This window comes from Homo sapiens, chromosome 15 (assembly GCF_000001405.40).
Source record: "Homo sapiens chromosome 15, GRCh38.p14 Primary Assembly".
Taxonomy (NCBI): Eukaryota; Metazoa; Chordata; class Mammalia; order Primates; family Hominidae; genus Homo; species Homo sapiens.
In genome coordinates this window covers 77412763-77437498 of record NC_000015.10, presented here as the reverse complement: position 1 = coordinate 77437498, position 24736 = coordinate 77412763, and the positions used below count along the sequence as shown (strand labels likewise).

General features: G+C 39.7%; 2 protein-coding genes across 38 annotated transcripts in view, besides 7 other annotated features; one reads left to right on the top strand and one right to left on the bottom strand.

The window, feature by feature from the left end:
- Window positions 1-16611, bottom strand: part of HMG20A (high mobility group 20A) — a 99163-nt gene extending 82552 nt beyond the window's left edge. For all 7 annotated transcript variants that reach the window (XR_001751049.3, XM_011521158.4, XM_047432109.1 and 4 more), the window contains exon 1: window positions 16495-16611. The gene's annotated coding sequence lies outside the window, so the exon portion shown is untranslated. The remainder of the gene's footprint in view (window positions 1-16494) is intronic.
- Window positions 7050-7149: an enhancer, noted in NCBI's record as "active region_9896". NCBI's record gives its function as "activates an Ori minimal core promoter by ATAC-STARR-seq in GM12878 lymphoblastoid cells {active_cell/tissue: GM12878}" and the evidence as "EXISTENCE:reporter gene assay evidence [ECO:0000049][PMID:35858748]".
- Window positions 16110-16159: an enhancer, noted in NCBI's record as "active region_9895". NCBI's record gives its function as "activates an Ori minimal core promoter by ATAC-STARR-seq in GM12878 lymphoblastoid cells {active_cell/tissue: GM12878}" and the evidence as "EXISTENCE:reporter gene assay evidence [ECO:0000049][PMID:35858748]".
- Window positions 16550-16599: an enhancer, noted in NCBI's record as "active region_9894". NCBI's record gives its function as "activates an Ori minimal core promoter by ATAC-STARR-seq in GM12878 lymphoblastoid cells {active_cell/tissue: GM12878}" and the evidence as "EXISTENCE:reporter gene assay evidence [ECO:0000049][PMID:35858748]".
- PEAK1 (pseudopodium enriched atypical kinase 1) overlaps window positions 16585-24736 on the top strand; it is a 320261-nt gene continuing 312109 nt past the window's right edge. For 26 of the 31 annotated variants that reach the window (XM_047433077.1, NM_024776.5, XM_047433065.1 and 23 more), the window contains exon 1: window positions 17395-17493. The gene's annotated coding sequence lies outside the window, so the exon portion shown is untranslated. Of the gene's footprint in view, window positions 16824-17394; window positions 17494-24736 lie in introns of those variants that run through there. The other 5 variants (XM_047433076.1, XM_047433057.1, XM_047433073.1 and 2 more) reach the window with 1 other exon arrangement.
- Window positions 17050-17369: a silencer, noted in NCBI's record as "silent region_6699". NCBI's record gives its function as "represses an Ori minimal core promoter by ATAC-STARR-seq in GM12878 lymphoblastoid cells {active_cell/tissue: GM12878}" and the evidence as "EXISTENCE:reporter gene assay evidence [ECO:0000049][PMID:35858748]".
- Window positions 17620-17789: a silencer, noted in NCBI's record as "silent region_6698". NCBI's record gives its function as "represses an Ori minimal core promoter by ATAC-STARR-seq in GM12878 lymphoblastoid cells {active_cell/tissue: GM12878}" and the evidence as "EXISTENCE:reporter gene assay evidence [ECO:0000049][PMID:35858748]".
- Window positions 17800-18009: a silencer, noted in NCBI's record as "silent region_6697". NCBI's record gives its function as "represses an Ori minimal core promoter by ATAC-STARR-seq in GM12878 lymphoblastoid cells {active_cell/tissue: GM12878}" and the evidence as "EXISTENCE:reporter gene assay evidence [ECO:0000049][PMID:35858748]".
- Window positions 21165-21833: an enhancer, noted in NCBI's record as "OCT4-NANOG hESC enhancer chr15:77708008-77708676 (GRCh37/hg19 assembly coordinates)". NCBI's record gives its function as "activates a minimal SCP1, AML or CMV promoter by ChIP-STARR-seq in primed H9 embryonic stem cells {active_cell/tissue: H9 hESC(primed)}" and the evidence as "EXISTENCE:reporter gene assay evidence [ECO:0000049][PMID:30033119]".

The following is a 24736-nucleotide window of genomic DNA, read 5'->3' as shown; positions in this document are numbered from 1 at the left end:
TAGCTTAGCACTGAGAAGACTAATCATCAAAAACTTCAAAAACATCAAAAACCAGAGGAAACAAGCAACTCCTTCATGCTCTCAGGGCACAGCACACACCTATGAAGTACTTCCCGACCTATAGTTTACCTAGGATGGCATGATCTATTTTCTTATTCATTACATATTTTCAGTAATATGTACCAGGTACATGGTTAAGATACCAGCAATACAATGGTGAACAAATTGTCTCTGCCCTCATGAAAAACTACAGTTGGAGATGAAAGACGTTCAGCAAATATACCAATAAATAAACTTTAAATTTGTTTAAAATGCTCTGAAGGAAAAGAACAGAAAGCTATAGAATAACAGGGGAGACTTCATTTAGACAGGGGACCTCTTTGAAGAAGGAACACATAACCTGAGAGCTAAATGTTAAGTAGGCACATTGCATACTGAGGAATTAGCTTATTAGGACCCAGAGGTGAGAGAGAACTTGATGCTTTGGAGGAAGTGAAAGGCGGCTTGTGGCTGGAGAAAAATGAGCCAGAGAGGAAAGCAACAAAGACAGGTAGACAGGAACCAAATCCAGAACAGATCTGGGGCCATGTCAGAAATCCGGGTTTTCCCCAAAGTATAAGAGTAAACCTCTGAGGAATTTTAAGGAGAAATTTTAAGGAGGGGCATGATGTGACATTTATGCTTTCTAAAAGTTCATTCTGACTTCTGTGTAAAGAATAGATGTGTAAGAATGGATCTAGAGGCCAGGTGTGGTGGCTCACACCTGAATCCCAGCACTTTGGGAGGCTGAGGCAGGTGGATTACTTGAGATTGGGAGTTTGAGACAAGCCTGGCCAACATGGTGAGATCCAGTCTCTACTAAAAATACAAAAATTAGCTGGGCATGGTGGTGCACACCCATGGCCCCAGCTACTTGGGAGGCTGAGGCAGGAGAATTGCTTGAACCTGGGAGGCAGAGGATTCAATGAGCCGAGAACATGCCACTGCACTCCAGCCTGGGCAACAGAGTGAGACTCTCCATCTTGGGGGAGGGAAAAAAAAAAAAGAAAATGGATCTATAAAGATCAGTAGGGAAGTAGTTACTGCAATAGTCCACCAGTCCACCATAGCATGACAGTGGCTTAGAAAAGGATAACAACAGTGGAGATGTAGCAAAGAGGGTGGATCTGAGATATATTTAGGAGGTAGAATCAATAGAATCTTGCAGTGGTCTGGATAGGGGGGTGTGTAAGTGTGTGTGTTGAACGGGTAAGGGGATTAGTAAGAGGTCTCAAGAATGAGCCCAAGATTTTTAACGAAGAAATTAGTAGACTGAGTTGTCATTTATGGAGATAAGGAATACTCGAGATGTAGAAGTAGAAAAAGTATTAAGATTAGACATGTTCATTTTAAGATGCCTTTGAGATAAAATATCAAGTTGTACTCTGTATACAGAACAAAAGTCTGAGATGGAGACAGGAGTTTAGGAGTTTCCAGCAAGTATAGTAGATAGTATTTTAAAGCATGAATGTATGATATAACCTCAGGAGAGATAATAGGTTAAAAGGAGTTAGAATTGTGTTCTGAGGAACTCAACAGTTAGAAGATGAGTAGAGGAGGAACTGCAAAAAGGACATGAACAGAGGTAGGCAGAGAGCCAGGAATGCGTGGTGTCAGACTATCTCAAGAAAAAAAAAAAAGATGCACCTACATGTTACTGAGGTTAAATGAGAATGTAAAAGATGCCCAAGTTTTTTGACAACATGGAAGTTATTAGTAACCTAGTAGAGCCCTTTTGATGGAATGGTGGGGTAGAAGCATACCACCTACATGGTTTGTGTATAGGGAATGTAGAGAAAAATAATACAGTCCTTCAAGTCATTGAGGGAGTGGAGGGTTTAAGTAAACTTAAAGTACAAAACAAATGGCTGGGTGCAGTGGCTCACACCTGTAATCCTAGCATTTTGGGAGGCCGAGGCGGGCGGATCACTTGAGGTCAGGTGTTTGAGAGCAGCCTGGCCAACATGGTGAAACCCCATCTCTACTTAAAAAAAATACAATAAAAGAATTTAGCCAGGCATGGTGGCACGCATCTGTAGTCCCAGCAACTTGGGAGGCTGAGGCAGAAGAACTGCTTGAGCCCAGTAGGCGGAGGCTGCAGTGAGCCAAGATCGCGCCACAGCACTCCAGCCTGGGTGACAGAGAAGACTGTCTCCAAAATAAATAGACTATAAAACAAAAATTATGCAAATTTTAAGTGTACAGCTTGACAACTTTTCATAGACTGTATCACCTGTAGCCTTATCAGAATAAACAGAATATTACAACAAGCAGAAATCCCCTACCTTATGCCCCTTCCCATTCACTATCCCTGTAAAAGTAATTACTATGACTTCTAAGATTTGTTCTGCTTGTTTCTGAACTTTATTCATATACTATGTAATTATTTGTACTTACATGCACTTATCTGGCTTCTTTTGCTCGATATTATGCTTGGTGATCATCCATGTAGATACAAGAAACATTTGTTTACCCATTCTATTTCGATGGACATTTGGGCTATTAAGAATGATGCTACTATGAACATTCTTGTCCATTTGTGTCTTTTGGTGAACATATAAATTTCTGTTGGGTGTATACCTAGGAACAGCTGGGTCAGAGGGTGTATGATCACCTTTGGAATATACGGCCAAATTGTTTTCCAAAATGGCTGTAAAAATACACACACCTACCAGAAACATATGAGTTTCAGTGTCTTCACATCATCAATACTTGATATTCTCAATCTTTTTAATTTTAGCCATTTCAGTGGGGATGTAGTGAGAGGCCTCAAGATACTGAGAGGTCCCAAGTATCTCACTGTGGCTTTAATTTGCACTTATTTAATGTAAATAAAATAGCTGGGTGCATATTGGCCTTTGGATAGTTTCTTTTGTGGAGTGCCTATTGAAGTATTTTGTCCTTTTCAAAATTTGATTATTTGTTTTTTCCTATTTATCTGTAAGAGCTCTACAAGTCCCTTGTTGAATACATGTATTACAAATATGTATTCTCACTCTGTGACTAGTGTTTTCACTCTCATAATGTCTTTTGAAGATAAGTTTTTAATTTCATAAACTCCAATTTCATGAGTTTATGAAGTTTTTAATTTCATAAACTCCAATTTCATGAGTTTATGAAGTTTTTAATTTCATAAACTCCTTCCTTTTCGGATCATTACCTACTCCAAGATCATAAAGGTGTTTTCCAGTTTCTCCCTAAATTTTTCTTTCACATTTAGCTCTATAATCCAACTAGACCTGATTTTTGTATATGTTGTGAGGTAAGGGTTCAAGATTCATTCCCTGCCCCTTCCACACAAAACCAGGCACCATTCAATGAAAAATCCATCCCTCCCCTACTGTGGTGGATGCTACTGTTGTCATAAATTGATTACATACATATGGGATTGTTTCTGGGCTCTCAATTATGTTCCACAGATCTGTCTATCCTTGCGCCATTACCACATTGTAATTACTGTAGCTTTATAATAAATCCTGTTATCTGATAAAGTCTTACAACTTTGTTCTTCAAGTTTGTCTTGACTACTTAGTCCTTTTCATGTCTATGTGAATTTTAGAATCAACTTGTAAGTCCCTCCTTCCATCATGTACACAAATCACCTGAGATTTTATTAGGATTCCATTTAATCTATAGAGCAATTTGGAGAGAAATGATATCTTTACAATACCAAGTCTTCCAATCTATGACTACCTATTATATCTTGTTTCTCTCTATGTTTTATAGTTTTCTGTGTAAAGATCTTACAAGACTTAAATTTGATTTGTTTGATTCTATTGTAAATGGCATTTTAAAAATTTCACTTTCTAACTGTTGGTTGCTCGTGTAAGTTTGCTTATTAATTCTAATAGTTTGTCTATAGATTCTTTTAGAGTTCCTATATTCCCAAGTAACACATTTAGGTTCACGAAAGAGATTGCTCTGTAAATATCTTCTCTCAAAATATCACTGCCAGCTCTTGGCATTAAGGCTTAGATGATCTCATAAAACGACTTGTATTCTATTGAAGAGTTTGAGTAACACTGGGGTTATTTCTTCTTTAAATATTTGTAAGAATTCACCAGTGAAGTCAGGTAGACCTGGTTTTCTTTGAAGAAATTTTTTTTTTTTTTTTTTTTTTTAGAGACAGGGTCTCTAACATCCAGGCTGGAGTGCAGTGGCACAATCACAGCCCACTGTAACCTCGAACTCCTAGCCTAAACCGATCCTCCTACCTCCCGAGTAGCTAGGACTATAGGTGCACGCTATCATGCCCGGTTAATTTTTAAAATGTTCTTGTAGAGACAGGGTCTTGAACTCCTGGACTTAAATGATTCTCTAGCTTTGGCCTCCTGAAGTGCTGATGTTACAGGCATTAGCCACCATGCCCAGCCAAAATTTTAAATACTGAATTCAATTTACTTAACAGATAAAAACAGTATTCAGATATTCTATTTCTTCATGTCAATTTTTTATATGCCAATTTTAATAAAGCATTTAACAATTTGTCCATTTCATCTAAAATTTCAAATCTGTCTATGTAAGGTTGTTCATAGTATCTTCCTACCTTTTTGACATCTGTAGAATCTGTAAAGAAATTTTCCCTTTTCATTCCTGATACTGGTAATTTATGCTCTTTTTTTTTTCTTTATCAATATTGCTAGAGGTCTATGCATTTTACTAATCTTTTTAAGGAACCAACTTTTGGTCTTGTTATTTCCTAATGCCAATTTGTTGTCTTTTTTTTTTTTTTTTTTTGAGTCGGAGTTTCGCTCTTGTTGCCCAGGTTGGAGTGCAATGGCGCGATCTCGGCTTACTGCAACCTCCGCCTCCAGGGTTCAAGTGATTCTCCTGCCTCAGCCTCCTGAGTAGCTGGGATTACAGGCACCTGCCACTACGCCCAGCTAATTTTTGTATTTTTAATAGAGATGGGCTTTTGCCATGTTGGCCAAGCTGGTCTCAAACTCCTGACCTCAGGTGATCCACCCACCTCGGCCTCCCAAGGTGCTGAGATTACAGGCGTGAGCCACTGCGACTGGCCAACAATTTGTTTTCTATTTCATTGATTTCTATTTTTTTATTATTTCCTTTCTTCTACTTACTTTGGGTTTAATTTGCTGTTCTTTTCCTACCTTGATGGGTATTTAGATAACTGATTTTTTACTTTTTTCTATTCTAATATATGCATTTAAGGCTATAAATTTTTCATTGAGTATATCTTTAACTGATTCACATGTATTTTCATAATCACGCTGTTGTAAATGTGTTCTAATTGCCATCGTGATTTCTAGATTGGCAGTTATTTTCTTTAAGGAACTTAAAGGTTGCATTCTCTGAGAATATATCCAAGGGAAATGAAATCACTATGTTGAAAAGATATCTGCACTCTCAGGGTTATTGCCAGATTATTCACAATAGCCAAGATATGGAATCAGCCTCAGTATCCATCAACAGATGAACACAGAAAATGTGGTATATACGCACAATGGAATACTATTCAGCTTTAAAAAAAGGAAGGAAATCCTGTCATTTGCAACAAAATGAATGAGCCTGGAGGGCATTATCTGTTAAGTGAAATTAGCCTGGCACTGACAAATACCATATGATCTCATATGTGGAATCTAGAAAACCTGAACTCATGGAAGTATAGAGTAGAATGGTAGTTACCAGGGGTGGGGTGGGGCTGGGAAGATGTTGGTCAAAGGACACAAAATTTCAGTTTGATAGGAGGAATAAGTTTGAGATATCTATTGTACAACATGTTAACTATAGTTAATAACAATGTATTATATTCTTGAAAATTGCTAAGAGAGTAGATGCTCAGTGTTTTTACCACATAAATTGTGTGAGGTAATACATATGTTAATTAGCGCAATTTAGCTATTCCACAATGTATACATATTTCAAAACATCATGCTGTACATGATAAATACATATAATTTTTGTCAATTAAAAAAACAAAAAAAACCAGCTGGGCATGGTAGCTCATGCCTGTAATTCTAGCACTTTGGAAGGCCAAGGCAGGCAAATCACCTGAGGTCAGGACTTCGAGACCAGCCTGGCCAACATGGTGAAACCTTGTCTCTACTAAAAATACAAAAATTAGCTGGGTGTGGTGGCATGCACCTGTAATCCCAGCTACTTGGAAGGCTGAGGCAGGAGAATCGCTTGAACACAGGAGGCAAAGGTTGCAGTGAGCTGAGATCACGCCACTGCATTCCAGCCTGGGTGACAGAGGGAGACTCCATCTCAAAATAAAATAAAATAAAATAAAAAATAAATAAACCAAGTAGGTAAAAGCAAAAAAACAAACAAAAAAGTTACATTGTATTGTTTTCTGGCCCCCATTATTTCTGTTGACAAGTCAGATGTCAGTCTAATTGTTCCTTTGAAGATTATGTGTCTTTTTTCCTCTGGTTACTTTCAACAGTTTTATTTTTACTATGAAGAATGAAAGTGTGGTACTCCTTGTATTTATTCTGCTTGTCGTTTCTTGCACTTTTCAAATCCATGGCTTGATATTTGTCATCGGTTTTAGAAAATTCTCAATCACTGTCTCTTAAAATATTACTGCTTCTAACTTTCTCTCCTCCAGTCATATGTATGTTAGACTTCTTCATCATTTCCTCATGTCTCTGTAATAGTTTCATATTGTTGCTGTCACAAGTTATCCAAAGCTATTGGCTTAAAGCAATACAAATTAACTTTCTTACAGTTCTAGACTCTGCCTAGCAAACACTGTGAGGGGAAAACAAGTTTTAAAAAAGTTTCTGGGTACTGTCCTTCTCTAGGGATCTTGACCCAAGAACTAGCTACCTGGAGATCTCTAAAATCCAAGTTTTGTCTGCTCCGCCCCATAAAACTAACAGCTTCTCTGCTTTTAGAAGAAACCCTCTGCTAAGTTTCACAGCATCTTGTCATGCTCTAAGAATTAGCAAATTCCTAGGAAAAAAGAGAAGCATGGAACATCAGCCCACTTCTCTGAAGCTCCTTTGGTTCTATGGTTGTGGTTTCTTAAGTCCTGGATGCCTCAGCAGGTCTCTGATGCCTTCACTTTTCTTTTTAATTCTCATCTTTCCTGTTCTTAGCAAAAGCATTAGTCTGCAGCAACCTCATCTCTCAGAGTCATAAGTGGAAACCATAGCTTGGGCTCTGAATAAAAACTCTACTGCTTATTAGTTAAGTGATTCGGCAAGTTATTTAACCTAGAGTATTTAAACATTTGAAGTTTCAATTTTCTTTCATGTAAAATGAACGTTAACACTATCTAATGAGGTTACTGTGAGGATGTGAAGATTAAATGAGACATATTTATAAAATGTCTGATAACAAAAACATTCTTATTGTAGGTTTTGTATGTGCCAAATACTTTATATAGATTTAATAATTTAATGTAGACATAGTTATCCTCCATTTCCTTTTCAAGACCACATATTAGTAAGTGATGAAGCTCAGATTTGATTCTAGAACACCAGTTTTCAATAACTACAAATTGTTGCTTCTATAATGTTGCTTGAGTATTGTTCCTGACACAAGTAAGTGGTCAGTAAATGTAAATTATTATTATATAGAAAATATAAATGCTTCAGAAATAGACACCAATCACATTAGTTTTTCTACTTTTTCTTCTGATGTTTCTCCTTTTCATTTTTGCAAAAACATTCTTACAACATCTTTCAATGTATTCTTAAAGACGCTATTGTGAAAAATGAATGTCTTACAGCCCACTGAGTAGATAGGCAATAATTTGCTTAGGCATTATTATATTGTTGAATATTTAGAAGGTTTCAAGTTTTAGACAGTATAGATATCAGTGCTATTAACATTTTGTGCCTTTAACTATTTTTCTTATTTAAAGTATTTTCTCAGAATGAAGTTCTATATGTGGAATTATTGGCTCAAAAGTATGAACATTTTATTATTTGTTGATATAACTGCTACTGTTATTAAGCCAAAAAGTTATGATAATTATGATGCCATCAAGCAACAAACATGAAGGTTTGTATCAAGAGAACAGGAATTAAAGCTATGAAGTATAGGAATGAAGGACATGTGGACATGGGGGAAAAAAAGGAGATATGAATTTTGAGGCTGGAAAAGAAAAAATGGGGTGCTGGAAATCATTTCTTTTGAAGCAGGCAAGCGCTAGTAATCCCAGCTACTTGGGAGGCTGAGGCAGGAGAATTGCATGAGCTCACTAGCGCCACTGCACTCCAGCCTGGGAGACAGAGCAAGACTCCGTCTCAAAAAAACAAAAAAAACAAAAAAACCCACCATATTAAATTATTATTATTTTGTTTAGTAGAGATGGGGTCTTGCTATGTTGCCTGTGTTAGTCTCAAACTCCTGGCCTCAAGCAATCCTCCTGTCTCAGCCTCCCAAAGTGTTGAGATTATAGATACAAACCACTGTGCCCGGCCAACATATTATTTAAAAATTATACATATAAATTGCAAAACAACCACACAGATTAAAGGCCTATGTTCTAGAGGCTCCCCCCTCCTTTTTTTTTTTTTTTGAGACAGAGTCTTGCTCTGTAGCCCAGGTTGGAGTGCAGTGGCTCGATAACAGCTCACAGCCTTGAACTCCTGGGCTTATGCGATCCTCTGGCCTCAGCCTCCTGAGTAGCTATGACCACATGTGTATATACCACCATGTCTGGCTATTTTTTATTTTTTTGTAGAGACAGCATCTCACTATGTTACCCAAGCCGGTCCCAAACTCCTGAGCTAAGGCGATCCTTCTGCCTTGGCTTCCCAAAGTGTTGGGATTACAGAAGCCACCACACCCAGCCTAGAGTCCACTTATTTGGTGTGTAATCTCGAGCCTTGAATTGCCTTATCTATAAATTGGGATTAAATTTTATAATATCCGACTAAAGCCAGAATTGGAACATCGTATCTCTTGTTTTATATTCCTGATATTAAATTTGTTTTGTGAGTATACCATACTTCAATAAAAATGAAGGAATCTCTCCTTTTTTGCTGATATGCTTTGAATGTCTTACACGCTATGCTTTGAATATCTTATCTTGTGATGAATATCCTGTTAAGAATCTTATGTCAGACTTTAAGTTACTATTTTAAAAGGTTACTTTACTTTGTGGGATTCTCTGAAGGCCAAGCCATTTGCCTGCTCTTTCTACAATCACATAAATCTTACTGGGTATACCCAAAGGCCGTTGCTTTTCTACAGCTGCCTTCCTCCTTCTTTGTTACCATCACAGATTTTGGGGTAGTAGGTACCTGATCATCAGGGAGAACACAGAAGGCCTTGAAAATGTGGGTTTAACCATACCAAGATCTTTCGCTCTGTTTATGTACTATAGCCTCCCCAGTAAAAACAAAACAAAACAACAAACAACATCTCTGCTAAATGCTTCATTATGAACACAGGTAAGTCAGTGCTTGATTGTCCCAAGTTCCAGTTCAGATTTTCCACTTTCCATTATCCTCCAGTAAATTTTAGTAGTGATACTGAGGGATCATGCAGTATGAGAATAAACACTGGCCTTAGAGGATCTGCATTCAAATCCTGTCTCTACCACTTACTGGTTAAGTGATTTTGGGCAAGTAATCTAATCTTTCTAAATCTTATTTTTCTCATATGGAAAAATGCCAAATTATTAGAATTAAGATAACATGTAGTGCCTAGCACAATACTACATAAATGTTAGTCAAGTGGGAATTGGAATTATGGCTCAGTGTGGTCTGAATCTGAATATTATTCAGAAAATAAGGACAGCAGCACTGAATAAAATTTTTTTTTGAGCTGAATAAAATTAGAGAATTTTGATTTCTAGGATCCTCAAAAATCCATATCCTTTAAAGAAGCCATATGGGGTAACATGTATAAGGGTCCTGAATTCCTTCATGTTCCAACAGATCCAGGTTCCAAGGTATGGAAACACTTATCAGATTATAAGCAAAGAGAACAATAATTTTATGTGTGTTCAACTAGCCAAATATTTTTGCTGGTAAAATCGTGGTGAAAACAACATCCTTATACATTGCTGTTATCATTAAAAATCAGTACAATCTTTTAGGGAAATGTAGGTATCATATCTAGAACTACCCATGCTTGTAGAACCATTAATCACACTCATAAGATTTTATCTTCAGAAAAAAAGTCAAATAAGGAAAATAGCTATAGTTTTATTTAATAGTGCCTGGCACATAAAAGGCACTCAAATATTTCTTCAAATGAATACCTTTATTTGTACTGACTTCTCCAAATCACTGCCCTTGGTTCCTTCTCATTAAGATTTATCTATTTTTATTACCTGAGGAGAGCTTTAGAATCAAATTCTAACATCTTTGTCTAGTCTCTATTCTCCCATCTTCCCCAGTAACTTTGTTTTGATTGCTACTAGACTCCTTACCTTAGAATACTCCCACTCTTTAAACTCAGCTGACCGTAACACAGAAACCAAAAAGACCATATACCACATCCTTGACCTAATCAAGAAGAAATCTGAAGCTTCCTTCAAGGTCATAAGATGTTTTTCTCCTTTGTTAATACCTCTGTAGTCTAAGTATTTACCAAAATCCCTGCTACATTAAGACAAAAACCCAGAAGCTATCCTCATATCCATCCTCACCTGATCCTTAACATACCTTTAGCCCTGTACCTAGCTGCTTATATTTCTCTCTAGGATCTGAGAAAGAATGATCATTTCCTTGCTTTCACACCTCTTGCTTCTTTCTTCTGGCTCCATTCAAAATTCTCTATTCTTCAAGTCTAAGTATCTCTCTCTTTTAGATATAATTCACATACCATAAAACTGACCCCTTTAGTGTATATTTCAGGATTTTTTTTGTACAGTTGACCCTTGAACAACATGGGTTGAACTGCATGAGTCTACTTATATGCTGATTTTCTTCTGCCTCCACCACTTGAGACAGTAAGACCAACCTTTCCTCTTCCTCCTTCTCAGCCTACTCAATGTGAAGATGACAAGGATGAATACCTTTATGATAATCCACTTCCACTTAACGAATAATAAATAGTAAACATATTTTTTCTTCCTTATCATTTTCTTAGTAACATTTTCTTTCTCTAGCTTATTGTAAGAATACAGTACATAGTACATGTAACATATAAAACATGTGTTAATCAACTATTTATGCTATTGGTAAGGCTTCCAGTCAGCAGTAAGCTATTTACGTAGTTAACTTTTTGGGGAGTCAGAAGTTATACATGGATTTTTGACAACACAGGGGTTAGCACCCCGAACCCCCTCATTGTTCAGGTGTCAACTGTATATTAGTATACAAGATATTTTAGTATATAAGGTTATGCAACCACCACCACTATCTAATTCTGGCACATTTTCATCACTTCCAAAGGAAACTCCATACTAGCAGTCACTCCCATTCCCATCCACTAATGTACTTTCTGTCTCTATTAGTTTTGCCTAATCTAGACATCTTAAATAAATGGAATCACATAATAGGTTGCCTTTTGTATGTGACTTCTTTCACTTTAATATTTTCAAGTTTTATCCATGTTACAGCAGGTATTGCTACTTTGTTTCTCTTTGTTGCTGAATAATATTCCATTGTATGGCTATATCGCATTTTGTTTAGTCATCCAATAATTAATGGACATTTGAGTTTGCCTTTTACAAATAAGGCTGCTACAAATATTTGTGTGCAAGTTTTTGTGTGAACATGTTTTAAGTTCTCTTGGATATATACCTAGGAGTGGAAATACAAGTTAAGTGTCCAAATATTTGATATAAAAATCTATTTGGTTTCTGAGTTCAGGTAGCAGAGGGTATCTCTCACAATGCAAACAATTCTATATTAAGCTCTCCATGCCATCCCTACTCAAACACCTACCATCTTCAAAGTCTGCAGATATTAGTAACAATTTACTTTTTTCCAATTAAATTGAGGAGCAGAGATCAGTTCTTACAGCTCCAGTTATATAGGAGGTGCTTAATATATGCTTATCTGACACCCTAAGAAGCTCCCAAATGAGAGAATGATGACTTACTATTCACTCTTTCATTTTATAGATATTTGAGTGTCTAATGTATGATAGCCATTGTGCTGATGCTGGGCATAATTGTGGACAAAAGTTATTGATCAGTTTTGTCATACTCCAAGAGCCAGCTCACGTCCACAAATATTTACTGAATACCTATGATGTGAATGGTCTTGTGCCAGGTATGACAGCACAGAGTGGAATAAGACCTAGTCTGCAGCCTTTTAGGGAAGGCATAAACTCTACCTACAACAACGCAATAAAAACAAACAAGAGGAGCACTGGACAGTAAGTGCTGTAAGAAAGGTATAATGCTCTGGAGAGTTAATGGACAGAACGTGTACAGTTTGGGAGAGTGTAGAAGAGGATGGATATCAGAAAATATTTCTTAAATGTGGTACTTGAGAAACGACCTCAAAGAAAGTGGCATTTTGATAGATGGGGATTCCTAGGAAAAAAGAGTGTTTCAGGCAGAAAATAGCATGAGCAAAAAAAAATATTAATGCTGGGTGCAGTACAGATTTTTTTCCCCCCAGAGGCGATCCCGTTTGGATGTGTAGATGAATAATGTGAGGTATGATCATAGTGTGAAAGGTCATTTTTGGTTTTCGTATTTAAATAAGTTTAGGAGAATGAGTTGAAAGTCTGCCTGTAACAATTCAAATTACCTTAGTGATTTGTGCCAAGATTAAGATTCCTTTTCTTGAAACTTTTCTATTTTGTATATCTTCTAATCATGGAAATTAGTGATTTCTCCTTCCCACAAGGAAAAAAAATTAAATCTTGACAACTGTGTGAGCATGCTGATAGGGGGACAAGGCTGAAGCTCAGTCAGTCTACCACTGCATCCCATACTGTGGGGAAAATGTAAAGCTTAAAACAGACATGTGGGCAAATCACAATAGCCAGAGTAGCAGAAGCAAGATTGGGGGTAAGATAATTGCATTAATGAAGCTTCTGGCACCAGGCATTGGACCAGGAGATTTACATACAACATTCTGATTCCACCAAACAACCCCATTTGGATTTAGGAAAACTGAGGCTTAGGGAGGTCAAATAAATTGCTCATGGTTACCAAGCTAGTAAGCTCAGCCAGTAAAATGCAGAGACCAGTGCTGAATTTGGGCCTATCTGATCCCATATTTTCCCCACTGTTCACTCTCATTTGTTTTCACAATACAAAAGAAGCTAGAATGGTAGGAAAATGATACATGTATCAATGAAAGGGACTGCATATTTAACACAGGGGCTTCTATGGTCTGGAGAAAAATTAGGCTGAAACATTCAAATCTGGGTTTAGAATGGCTTAGAGATTAAGACCAGGAGAGATCAAGTTTAGGGCTGCTTCTTTACCCAGTCTGAACAACGATCATAACATAGATCTTATTTAGGAATACCAAGGGAGCAAAATTCTAGTTTTAATTTGTAAATTAGAGAGTAAACTACAGTAGAATATGAATATTTGGCCGTATTTACTGTATTCAAAGTCCTGAGAACAGTGACTGGCATATAGTAGACACTCTAAACTTTTGCTTAAATAATGAAAAGTCACGTAAAGGGTATTCTCATTTGAATACCTGTGAAGGCTATGAAATAGAGACAGCAAAGCAGTAAGGTGAAAAACCATTCAGGTTCTTAAGATACTTTCTTTAATCCTCAACCCTACGGCAAAAACAACAACAAAAACAAACCACCACCAAAACGACAAACAAGGAAAGCAACAGTTGCAAAACATTAGCCTGATTTTACAAAGTAAAGTAGATGAAAGAATGAAAAGACACTTCTGTATTATGTATAACATCTCTGTGGATAATCTAATTTCAGTCAGATGGAATCCAGAATTGTGACCTACGGTTTTAATATTTCAAACTGCTGTGAGCAGTGTATCCAATGACTGTCTTTGGAAAAGAAAATGGTTATCTAATCCAAGTATTTGAAAAAAAGATTTGACACTTTCTTTGTTACATATATGGCAAGTAATGGAATGAAATCTCAAATTCATTAACTTGAAGTAACAGTACATGTACAAAAATATTAATTCTTTAAATTTTGATACTATATTTCTATTAAACATGCAAAGAAAACTGCACAAAGGGCATTAAGAAAAAAAAACCTTTGGAGGACAGCAAGCCTCTCTAAAGAAACATTTTTAAAAAGAATAAAAACAGGTTCTATGGACCTTCTCTCTCTATTTTTCACAAGCTTTTCTAATATTTCTTCTTTGATGGAACCAATGAATAACTGCCACTTATCACAAAATACCTTCTTTCAGATAGGTATTTTATATATTGCTTTCTTCTAAACAGATAGTTCTTCAAGCTGCTCAAGTCTTTCAGCTGCAACAATTTTTCTTATTTCTATTATACTGTATTTCTTCCATGGAGTACCATAAAGACCAATTTAATAAAGACAGTTTCCAAAAGGCAATATTACTCTATCTCAATCAGTATTTTAACATGATATTCTCTATTTTTTTCATTTAGTTCTACAATCTTTCCATACTTCAATAATTCCTAACACTACAGTTTCATTTGTCAGGGTGACCATATTATATTTTCTTCTATATTACATTAATATAGAAGATAGTGAACACTTCTTCTTTAATCAATTAATTCTTACTTCGGGCAGTCTACATGTTCCTAACCTATTAATAACCACAAAGACAATGTTTTGTCTTGCTTTTTCAGTCAACTACTGCAGCAATCGTGTGGTCTTTCAAAATATAAATCATACTTGATTTTAGGGTCTTAGATTCTTTTTTAAAAGTGACCACAGAAGATTAAAACATGTATTTTTTTTTACTGTAATATTTGGTTTAAAACATATTTTCTAATGAACCCTAACCCAAACAGCTATTTATTTATTTATCTATTTTTGAGACGGAGTCTCACTGTCGCCCAGGCTGGAGTGCAGTGGAGCGATCTTGGCTCACTGCAACCTCCGCCTCCCGGGTTCAAGCAATTCTCCTGCCTCAGCCTCCTGAGTAGCTGGGACTACAGGCGCACGCCACCACGCCCAGCTAATTTTTGTATTTTTAGTAGAGACGGGGTTTCACCATGCTGGCCAGGCTGGTCTCGAACTCCTGACCTCGTGATCTGCCCGCCTAGGCCTCCCAAAGTGCTGTGATTACAGGCGTGACCAAACAGCTTTTTAAAAAAACTATTATAGAATTAAAATAATCGCAGAGTCTGAGGCTAGATTAAGTACAATCCCAAAAGAAAAAGTACACAGGCCTTATTACTTCAAAAATTCTTGCAAGACAATACAGTTCTAGGTTCACTGATATATATACTAAAATTACTAACATTCAGATTTCACAAAGTAAGCTTCAAATAGATTGATTCCTTCAATACACAGACACACACCCTTCTAAGTATTGTGTTATCTGACAACAGAACCAAGGAATCAAAATTATTGAGTGTTTATTACCGCCTCACATATAGTTTATTAAAAATGAGCTACTGAAAACCAGAAAGTTCTTATTGACCTTTTGTCCTTTGTGAGCCAACTTTTTCCTGTTTAGAATCTGAGCTGAGTCTCATGACCCTTGCTTTATACTTTAAAACCACAAAGAACAGATACCATTTAAAAATCAGTGATGAATTAAATTACAAAGGAGGAAAATGTAATAAAATACAACTTTCAAAAATGTTACGTGTAAGCTACACATAAGAATTTTTAAGGCTGAAGAAGCTGTTCTCAGGCACAGGGCAAAACCTGTAGCCCAAAATCAACAGTCCTAATAATTTAAGATGTCAATTTTATCAGTTAAGGTAACCTCAAATTTGAGTACTTCAGTGTGATACTTTCATTCTGCTAAGATGAAAATGCCCCAGATTTTATGTAAAATATTCAGTCCCCTAAATAAAAAGTTATCTCCTTAAAAGAGAAGCTAGATTTCCTGTTGCATGTCAAGGCAGAGGGCACCACACTTCACCCAGCCAAGGCTGGACTTGAGTAGGGGTGCAGGTGTTGGCAATTCATCAGTCACACAAGCTATGTCGTCTTGCAAAGGTGCATAGAGATTTTTAACAAGGGCTTTCGAATTCTTTGAAGAAAACACAGACAATTTTGCTGGGGAGGAAATGCTCCATATTCCACGTGGAAGCAAACTCATAAATTCTGACTGCAGGTTGGTGTTCAGCACAACTTGGAATAATCTAACTTTTCACATAAAACACAATCCCCAAGCTGCAAGATAATGTCTCCGCGAATGGCACCAAGCACCACCTTTTCAAGCCCTCATCAGCACTGGAAGTGGGTCGGACACCCCCAAACCATCACCACCCCCCCACAGGAAGTGAGGGTGTCCCCCCTCCCCAGGACGGCCTTCCTCCCCTCCCCCAACCGGAAGTTGAGGCGCCCCCATTCAGCCGGCCTCCAACTGAGACAAACCAGTACCACCACCACCAAAAGAGGGGTGATCTTCAAGGGGTGAAGGGCATCTCGACTGGGGCCACCCCCAAGCTCGCCTTGCTTACTGACCTGCTGACGACAGGGGCAGGAAGGGGCCTAGGGCCAAAAGAAAGTCCCTTCCACAGAGGACAATTCCCTCAGCCCCTCTCAATCGCCTTCACTTCACGCACTCGTCGTCTCACAGCTGGACAAAAATTCTTCCGCAGCACTTTATTTTGGTGTCCTTTCCTTTTCTTTACCTAATCTCTTAACCACCTTTCCACAGGTAACTCCTCTTACCGCATAGCATTTACAATTGCTCCGGTGAGAAGAAAAATGAAATATTTTCCACGGTACCTTCACAAAAATGAAGGGATTATTTTGCCCCAATGCGGCGAAGGACTACGTGGTTACGCAAGGTGAGCCTTATTTTCGTGGAGGTTTCTGGGAGATGTAGTTTTTTTTTTTTTATTGCGAAGGCCCGCAGAAAGTAGAAGAACTGAAATTGGTCATGACTACATATTAGCGTCCTCGAAAACATATTCTGTATTCGATGACGGCTGACCTAGCGGGCCCCGACGCCCAAATGGGCCCAGACTCCCCTGGTCTTTTCCTCTGCGGCTTAATCGAACCCAAATTTTCCCTCACGCGGGCCCAAGGTCTCGGCAGCCCCGCCCCTTGTCTTAGCCCCGCCCTCCGCAGCCAATCAGGCACCCTTTAGGTCTCGTCCTCTGGAGGTTGGAAGGCAGAGAGGAGGGGCCTGGCGGTGACTCCTCCCGCTGGGGCTGAGGGAGACCTGGGAGACGACCGGGGCCCGTGAGCGCGCGCGTGCTCACGGCTCCAGGAGCGCGGCGAGCGGGCGAGGGCGCGCGCGGAGGGGCGGCGCGCGGGGCCGAGAGGAGGCGGGCAGGCTGGTGGGCTGGGCGGGCGGCGAGCGGCCGGGAGCGCGCGGTGGACTCGGCCGCGGCGAGTAGTTAGTTAGTTGTTGTTAGTCAGTGTCAGTTGCTCGGCGGCGGCGGCCGTGGTCACCAGGAAGGGGACGGGACGGACGGTGATGGTGGTCGCCGCGGCGGCGTGTGCGCCCCTCAGGTAACAGCGGCCCGGCTGTCCGCGTCCGCTCGGTTGTCTTCTACTCACGCGCCGTCTGTGGGACCAGGGTTGCCGCGGGTTGAGGGCGCTGACCCGGGGGAATCCGGGCGGGGCGGCGCGGGTTCTGGGTGGCGGCGCGGGTTCTGGGTGGCGCCGCCGCCGGGGCTCTGGCGGCCGGTGCGTCCCGCCCGGCGCGGGCTCTAGCTCCCCGGCCACCCCCGCGCCCCGCCGGTGCCGCGCGCCCCCTGCCGCCCCTGCCCCCTCCCTCGGCGGCGGCCCCGGGAGCGCGACGCCCCCCAGAGGAAGGAAAGTTGGGACCTGCCGCGAGGGACGCCCCCGGGCGCGGCTGGGAGGTTGCGGGGGAAAGTGAAGCCTGGAGGAGCTGGACGCGGGGAGGCCGGGGCAGGAGGGGCTTCTCTGGCTCCTGCCGGGTCCACACGGTCAGCCCGCTCCCGCACCCGGGAGCATCGGCGCAGCCTCGCCGGCAGCGTCGGGACGGAGCCGGGTGGCTCCCTGCCTGCTCCCTTCGCGCCGCGGCTGGGGAGCCCGCGAACGTGTGGGCTGGCGGGGTCGTTTGGGGGTTGTGAGTGGTTCGGCTGCTCAGTTTTTTTCTTTTCTGCCCTTTGACCCATCCGTTCTTGCAACTTTTCTTTCCTCCTTCGATGGGGACTTGCCGTCTGAACCGCGTCTGCCCCCTCCCCTCTCGTCGCATGCACCATCCGTCTGGGAGCTTGATTTCGTTTTTTCCTCCTTTGGCTACGTTAAAGATTGCTGAGAGCACCGGGAGAGACCCTCCTCCCCCGCCTGCCTCTGGCCTGTTAAATGTTACTTTTTGCGATTCGTTGTTTTTTAAAGATCCAAGTTCAGGAATTTGAGAGCTGTGGAATGGAGTTATTGGAAGGCTGACGTTGAGGGGGTAGTGATGAGTTAGAGGAAAACTATGATTTCATCTTTATTGGCCTTGCTATAGAAAACCTAATTGATTTTTTTTCTGCCTCTGTTGAATGTGGTAAGATCATACGTTGAATTAAATACTTAGAGACTTACATAAAAGACTATTTTTAGGTCATTGGATGATGTACGTGAACAGCTTTTCACCTGAATTGGGATTGCCTTGAGGATTCTGTTTTGGGGCCTACTTACTGATTTTTGTTCAGCCACAGCGTCTTTTTTTTTCCCCCGATAAATGAAGTGATGTAGTGATGTGTATAGTCAGAGAACCCATATTGCTCTCTGCAGTGTGGAAGTGAAAAACGTGAATTATCCACCGGGGTAAAACTTTCCATGAGCAATCTTGGATACTCACTTCATGATGGCTTCTCTCGTAATCTCAGAGCATTTCTAGATAGCTCAATTCACTGACGACCCTAATTACTTTCTGACTTGCCTGGGACTTCTCTTTGGTGACTTATTTAGTAAACTGTAATGGCAGATATGGTACATTTTCTTGGCTTCAAAGTTGAGGGTTATAGCCTCAGCCCAGAGATGAACAATGGAAGTAGAAGTCATAGCATTGCTAGTGAATTTTGGATATGACCAACTCACAAACTATGTGAAAAAACAAACATCCCCTTTTCATTGCTGTCGGGGGGGAAAGGGAAATATTTTATCATGTCTTTATTTTGGATTCTCTAACATGACTACATTATGTGGGAAAAAATGTCAAATTATTTTCTTTAAGGCTTTTTAATGTATGTTCCTTCTTTTCCCTCACTACCCCCCATCTCCTGTCCCAACTTAGAGGCTAAAATTTATGTGTGGCTGTGTTCTAGGGTTGGAAGAGAAGTGTTTTGGTGAAAGAAAAAGATAAGATCACTTTGAACTATTATGATACCTCAACTATTCGTTTTATCCAGTTGATAGTATACAGAAACTTTCACAATAATGTTTGTAGCCTATTAACATTCAAAATTCATTTTTAAGAGTCTACCCTGAAGGCCCATGAAGAAATAATGCCACTTCATAACTGTTTGCCGACAATCACATTAAAAAATATGTTCCTGGAATGCATTATACGTGTACTCATATAAACATTTATCTTTGTACATTTATGGTAATGTAAATATTTAAGTCTGAGAGCTTAAAAACTTTTATTTGCTTATTTGCATACATGTTTTTCAACATCTAGCAGTGCCAACCATATTTGCCAAATAAGCATCAGCTATAAATTCATGCTTTGGCACATTTCATATAATAACTCTTCTAAATTGTTCCGTGGTGAAGCATCATGAGATTAGCATTTGCTTCATGAGAGAGATTTGTTGTTCTTTTTAACTGTACTGATGTGCTGTTTAAGTGGAACGGGTGCTGGGCCCTAGCCATTTGTGTTGATACCTGCCAAATCATACCCTTTTGTTGGATGGGTTGTTTAAGTAATTTAGTAACCAAACTGTGGCCCCTGGCATGCCAAGTGTGAGTACAAGGCTCCATATCAGTGTTGCAAATCCCTGTTTTCAGTGTAAGAGGCAGATGTGTGTGATGAGCGTTATTCTGTCATTTGCTGATCTCTTTACTGTGATTCCTACCTCTTGCCCCCCTCCCCCCCCGCCCCGCATCCCCCCACCCCACTCTCCTTCCTAGTCCTTTCATTACTAAAGCTCCTGGTACTTTCTAGGTTCCCTCAAGGCTGGTTTGTTTTCCTTAGTGAAGTAGAAATCCTAGTAACCTTCAGGCCAGGAATAGATAGTTTACATTTGTTTGACAAATGTTTGAGTACCTTTTAAGTGCCAGGCATGGTGGTAGGTAGGACCTGAGTATTATAGAATATGAGATTCCTTTTTGCAAGGAGTTTACAGTTGAGGAGGAGAAGATAGGTGATAACCAATAATTATAGTATGACAGGGGCATGCACACATTCCTATGGATGGAAGCACAGAGGAGGGGTAGCTGACTCAGACTTCGGGGGATGGGTGGAGGGTGTCTAGAATGCATCTTAGAGTGTTACCTGAGCTAATCTTCAATAATAGGTAAGAGTTAACTAGGTCCAGAAAGAGGGAAAGTACATCTTATACCAGTGCTGTCCTATAAAATTTAATACAAGCCACAAATATGTTACATATACAATTTAAAATTTTCTAGTAACCAAATTTTAAAAAGTAAAAAGTGAAATTAATTTTAATAATATAAACTCAGTATATCCAAAATATCATTTCAACATGCATTCAGTATAAAAAGTAATATTGAAATATGACATTTCCATTTTCATACTGTCTTCAGAATCTGGTGCATAATTTTCTACTGTTTTCAGAATCTGGTGTGTAATTTACACTTATAGCACATCTCAATTTGGACAACTACATTCACATACTCAATAGCTGCAGGTGAGTGGACAGCAGCAGCACAGCTTTAGAACAGGGGTGGATGAAGTAATAAGCCAAATCAATGATTGTCTTGTGAACCAAGTTAATAACTTTAACTTAATTCCAAAAGTTGCGGGGATTTAGTGGGGAAAAAAAATTATGCTGTGGTAGAATCAGATTTGTATTTTAGACCTGTCATTTTGACAGTGAAGTGAATATTGAATTAGAGAGGGACAAAACTGGAAGCAAGGACCAGTTAGGAAGCTATTCCTGGTGAGAAATGATGAAGAGTGTAGAAGAGGGAGTGGCTCTATGAGAGATTTAGGAAGTATTATTAACGGGACAGGATAAATCTATTTAGATTATAGAATTGAGCAAGATTGAAGATTTTGGATGATTCCTACATTTCTGTTGTGATCCGCTGAGTAGATTGGGCAAGCAGCTGAAGAGAAGCCAACCATCTGTGCCAGACAGACCAAAGATGAAAAAAGGAAATAGAGATTTGTCATGGAAGCTGAGGGAGAATATTATTTCAAGGGCTAGGAGTGGTCAACACTGTATCCTGCCTCCAAAAGGAAAAGTAAGATAAAGACCTAATGAAGTCTCTGAGACTTGGTGATTAGGATGTCTTTTATAACTTCAGCTAGAGCACTTAGCTACATTGTAATGCATGGGGGTGGGTGTTGAAAAGTGAATGACAACTGTAAGTGTAGCTAATTGAGAGGGGTACAATGTTTTCAACAAAGGACTCTGAAGGAGTCTTTAAGCAGGGGGAGATACTTGGGATTTAGAGAATCTTGGACATTCTTAATGTGAGCCTGGAAAGAGCCACTGGAGAGGAGAAACTGAAGAAGAGTGTATATGTGTGTGTTTGGTGGGCGTGGGAGACTGGCTGGTGGATGGAGACAAGGATTTGAAGGTAATAAGGAATGGGATCCAGGGCGTAGGCAGAGAAGTTGGTCTTAAGTAGAAGGTAGTCTCACTTTTCCAGTGAGCAGAAAGGAAGGAGATGGATGGCAATGTAAATAAGTTTGTAACTGACAGGGCAGGAAGGAAGAGTTGATGACATGTCTTGTGTAATTTTTGATCATCTGCTAAGAGTGAAGGGAACGTGGTAGAATAGGAGTTTTTAAACAATGTATGTGAGGCCAAGTGCTGTGGCATGTGCCTGTAGTCCCATCTACTCAGTAGGCTGGGGCAGGAGGATCGCTTGAACCCAGAAGTTGAAGGCCAGCCTGGGCAACATAATGAGACCCTATCTCTTAAAAAACACACACACAAACAAAAAAGCCAGGTAAAATTAATCCACCCCTGTGAAAGGAATGGAAAAAAAGATAGTCTGTAGTTTATACATACTCTTTGTAAACGGCTTCCAAGGGAATGGCTAACAGTGGATGGGGTGGAGGTAAGGGAGAGAGAGGTAAACAGACACATGACTAGGAAACTGAAGAAGGATTGTTAGTTACATGACTAGGAAACTGAAGAAGGATTGTTAGTTAGCATTGAGGACCTGTTTATTTCAGATTGTAGACCTCACATTTGTAGCAGTACCAATTTTCGTGGTTGATTTTTCTCCAGCAGTGAGTGATCAGACTATCTGAAGAAACTATTTAATACTCTCAAGAACCTTATGAGTTATGTATTGTTACTGTTACTCTCCTTGTTTGTAAGATGAACAGCTTGGGTTTAAATTCTGCCCAGGCTGTTATCTGCTGCTTTGTAGATATCTGTTTGGTAGAGATATCTGAAGGACAGTTGGTTGAGGGAATTAATGATATTGAGTATTGTAGCTCTACTGAAGAACTATGGAGTCCTCCTGGATTATGAGCTGGAAGCCTGTAAGGAGGTGATCCAGTTGGGAGAAAATGAGGAGCATGAAATGCTAGAAGTCAGTGTGAAGCTGTAGAGCAAATGAAGAGCAAATAATACTAGCTTCTATTTGTGGAGTACCTCCTATGTGCTAGACACTTTAATACCTAATTCTGATCCTAACACTAACTCAACAATTTTGTTATTTACCTTATATTATTTCCTTTGTTCTCCTTCAGATGAAGAAACTGAGGATTAGAAAGGTTAAATAACATATTCAGACACACCCTGTCAAGTGATGGAACCAGGATTCAAAGCCCATTCTTTCTTGTCCAAACCATGTTCGTTTCAAGTCAGAGGATAAGATAGAAAATACAGTAATTGGGCCTGGCATAGTGGGTCATACCTGTAGTCCCAGCACTTTGGGAGGCCAAGGTGGGTTGAGGTCAGGACATTAAGATCAGCCTGGGCAAAATGGTGAAACCCCGTCGCTTACAAAAAAAAAAAAAAAATACAAAAAATTAGCTAGGCATGGTGGTGCACACCTGTAGTCCCACCTACTCAGGAGGCTGAGGTGGGAGGATCACTTGAGCCTGGGAGGTTCAATCTGCAGTGAACTGTGATTGTGCCACTGCACTCCAGCCTGGGTGACAGAGCAAGACCCTGTCTCAAAAAAAAAAAAAAAAAAAAGAAGGAAAGAAGGAAGGAAAGACAGAAGGAAAGGAAGGAAAGAGAAAGAAGGAAGGAAGGAAAGAAAGAAAAGAAAGAAAATGCAGGCTGGGTGTGGTGGCTTATTCCTGTAATCCCAGTACTATGGGAGGCTGAAGTGGGAAGATCGTCTGAGCCCAGGAGTTTAAGACCAGCCTAGGCGACATAGGGAGGCCTCATCTCTAAAAACTATAATAAATTAGCCGGGTGTGGTGGCATGTGCCTGTGGGCCTAGCTACTTAGGAGGCTGAGGTCAGAGGATCACTTGAGCCTGGATGGTAGAGGCTGTAGTGAGCCATGATTGCACCACTGCACCCCAGTCTGGGCAACAGAGTAAGACCCTGTCTCAAAGAAACAAACAGAAAAACTGCTGCTATATACTCTTCACCTGGGTTCCTCTAATGTTAACATCCTACATAACCATGGTGCATTTATCAAGCTAAGAAATTAGTATTGGTACGATGCTTCAACCAAGCTTCAAACTGCTTTAATATTTTACCAGTTTTTCTAGTATTCTTTTTCCATTCTGTTATCCAAACCTTGATATTGCATTGCTTTAGTTGTCTTCTTTGTCTCTCCCAATGTGTGGCAGTTTCTTGGTCTTTTCTTATCTTTTATAACCTTGACACAAGTATTTTGTAGAATGTTCTTCAGTTTAGGTTTGTCTGATGTTTTCTCATGATTAGATTGGGGTTATGGATTTTGGGGGAGAGTACTGCAAAGGTGAAGTGCCCCTATTATTTCATACAGGAGGTGCATGATATCAAATAATTTATCACTTGTGAGCACTCTGTTACGGTGGTTTCTGCTAGGTTTGTCCACTGTAAAGTTACTATTTTTCCTTTCCCATAGTCCGTGCACTAGAAACAGGTTGCTAAGTGTAGCCCACACTTAAAGGGATGGAAATTAAACTCCACTTCCTGGAGGGAGAAGTATAAAAGAATTTGTGGACATATATTAAAACCACCACAGTAATTGGTAAATATTTTGAGAGAGCTACTTTGAGGCTTTGCCAGTATCCTGTTTCTGCCCACTAATTTTAGCATTCATTAGTGGATCTTGCCTGCAGCAATTATTGCTGTGGCTTCTGAAGGTACTTTTTTAAATTTTCCTCATTCTTTCTACATTTATTAATTAGAATTCTTCTATAAGGAAGGTTTTCCCTTCTATCTAATCATTTATCTCAGTTCAAATTCATAGATATTTATTTTATTCTTAGTGTTAGAATTAAATGCTATCATTATTTTGTTGCTCAAATTATTCCAGTTTTGGCCCTTGGGATCTCTTTTAGGTCTACTTCTGTGTCTTTTTGGCATATTTCTATCCTTTTTTTATGCGTATGTACATGCACACTTCTTTATTCTCTGACACTACCACATGCTTCAGGTTCATCTTGTTTTTTTTTCCTACCTCAGCCCTAGAATCAA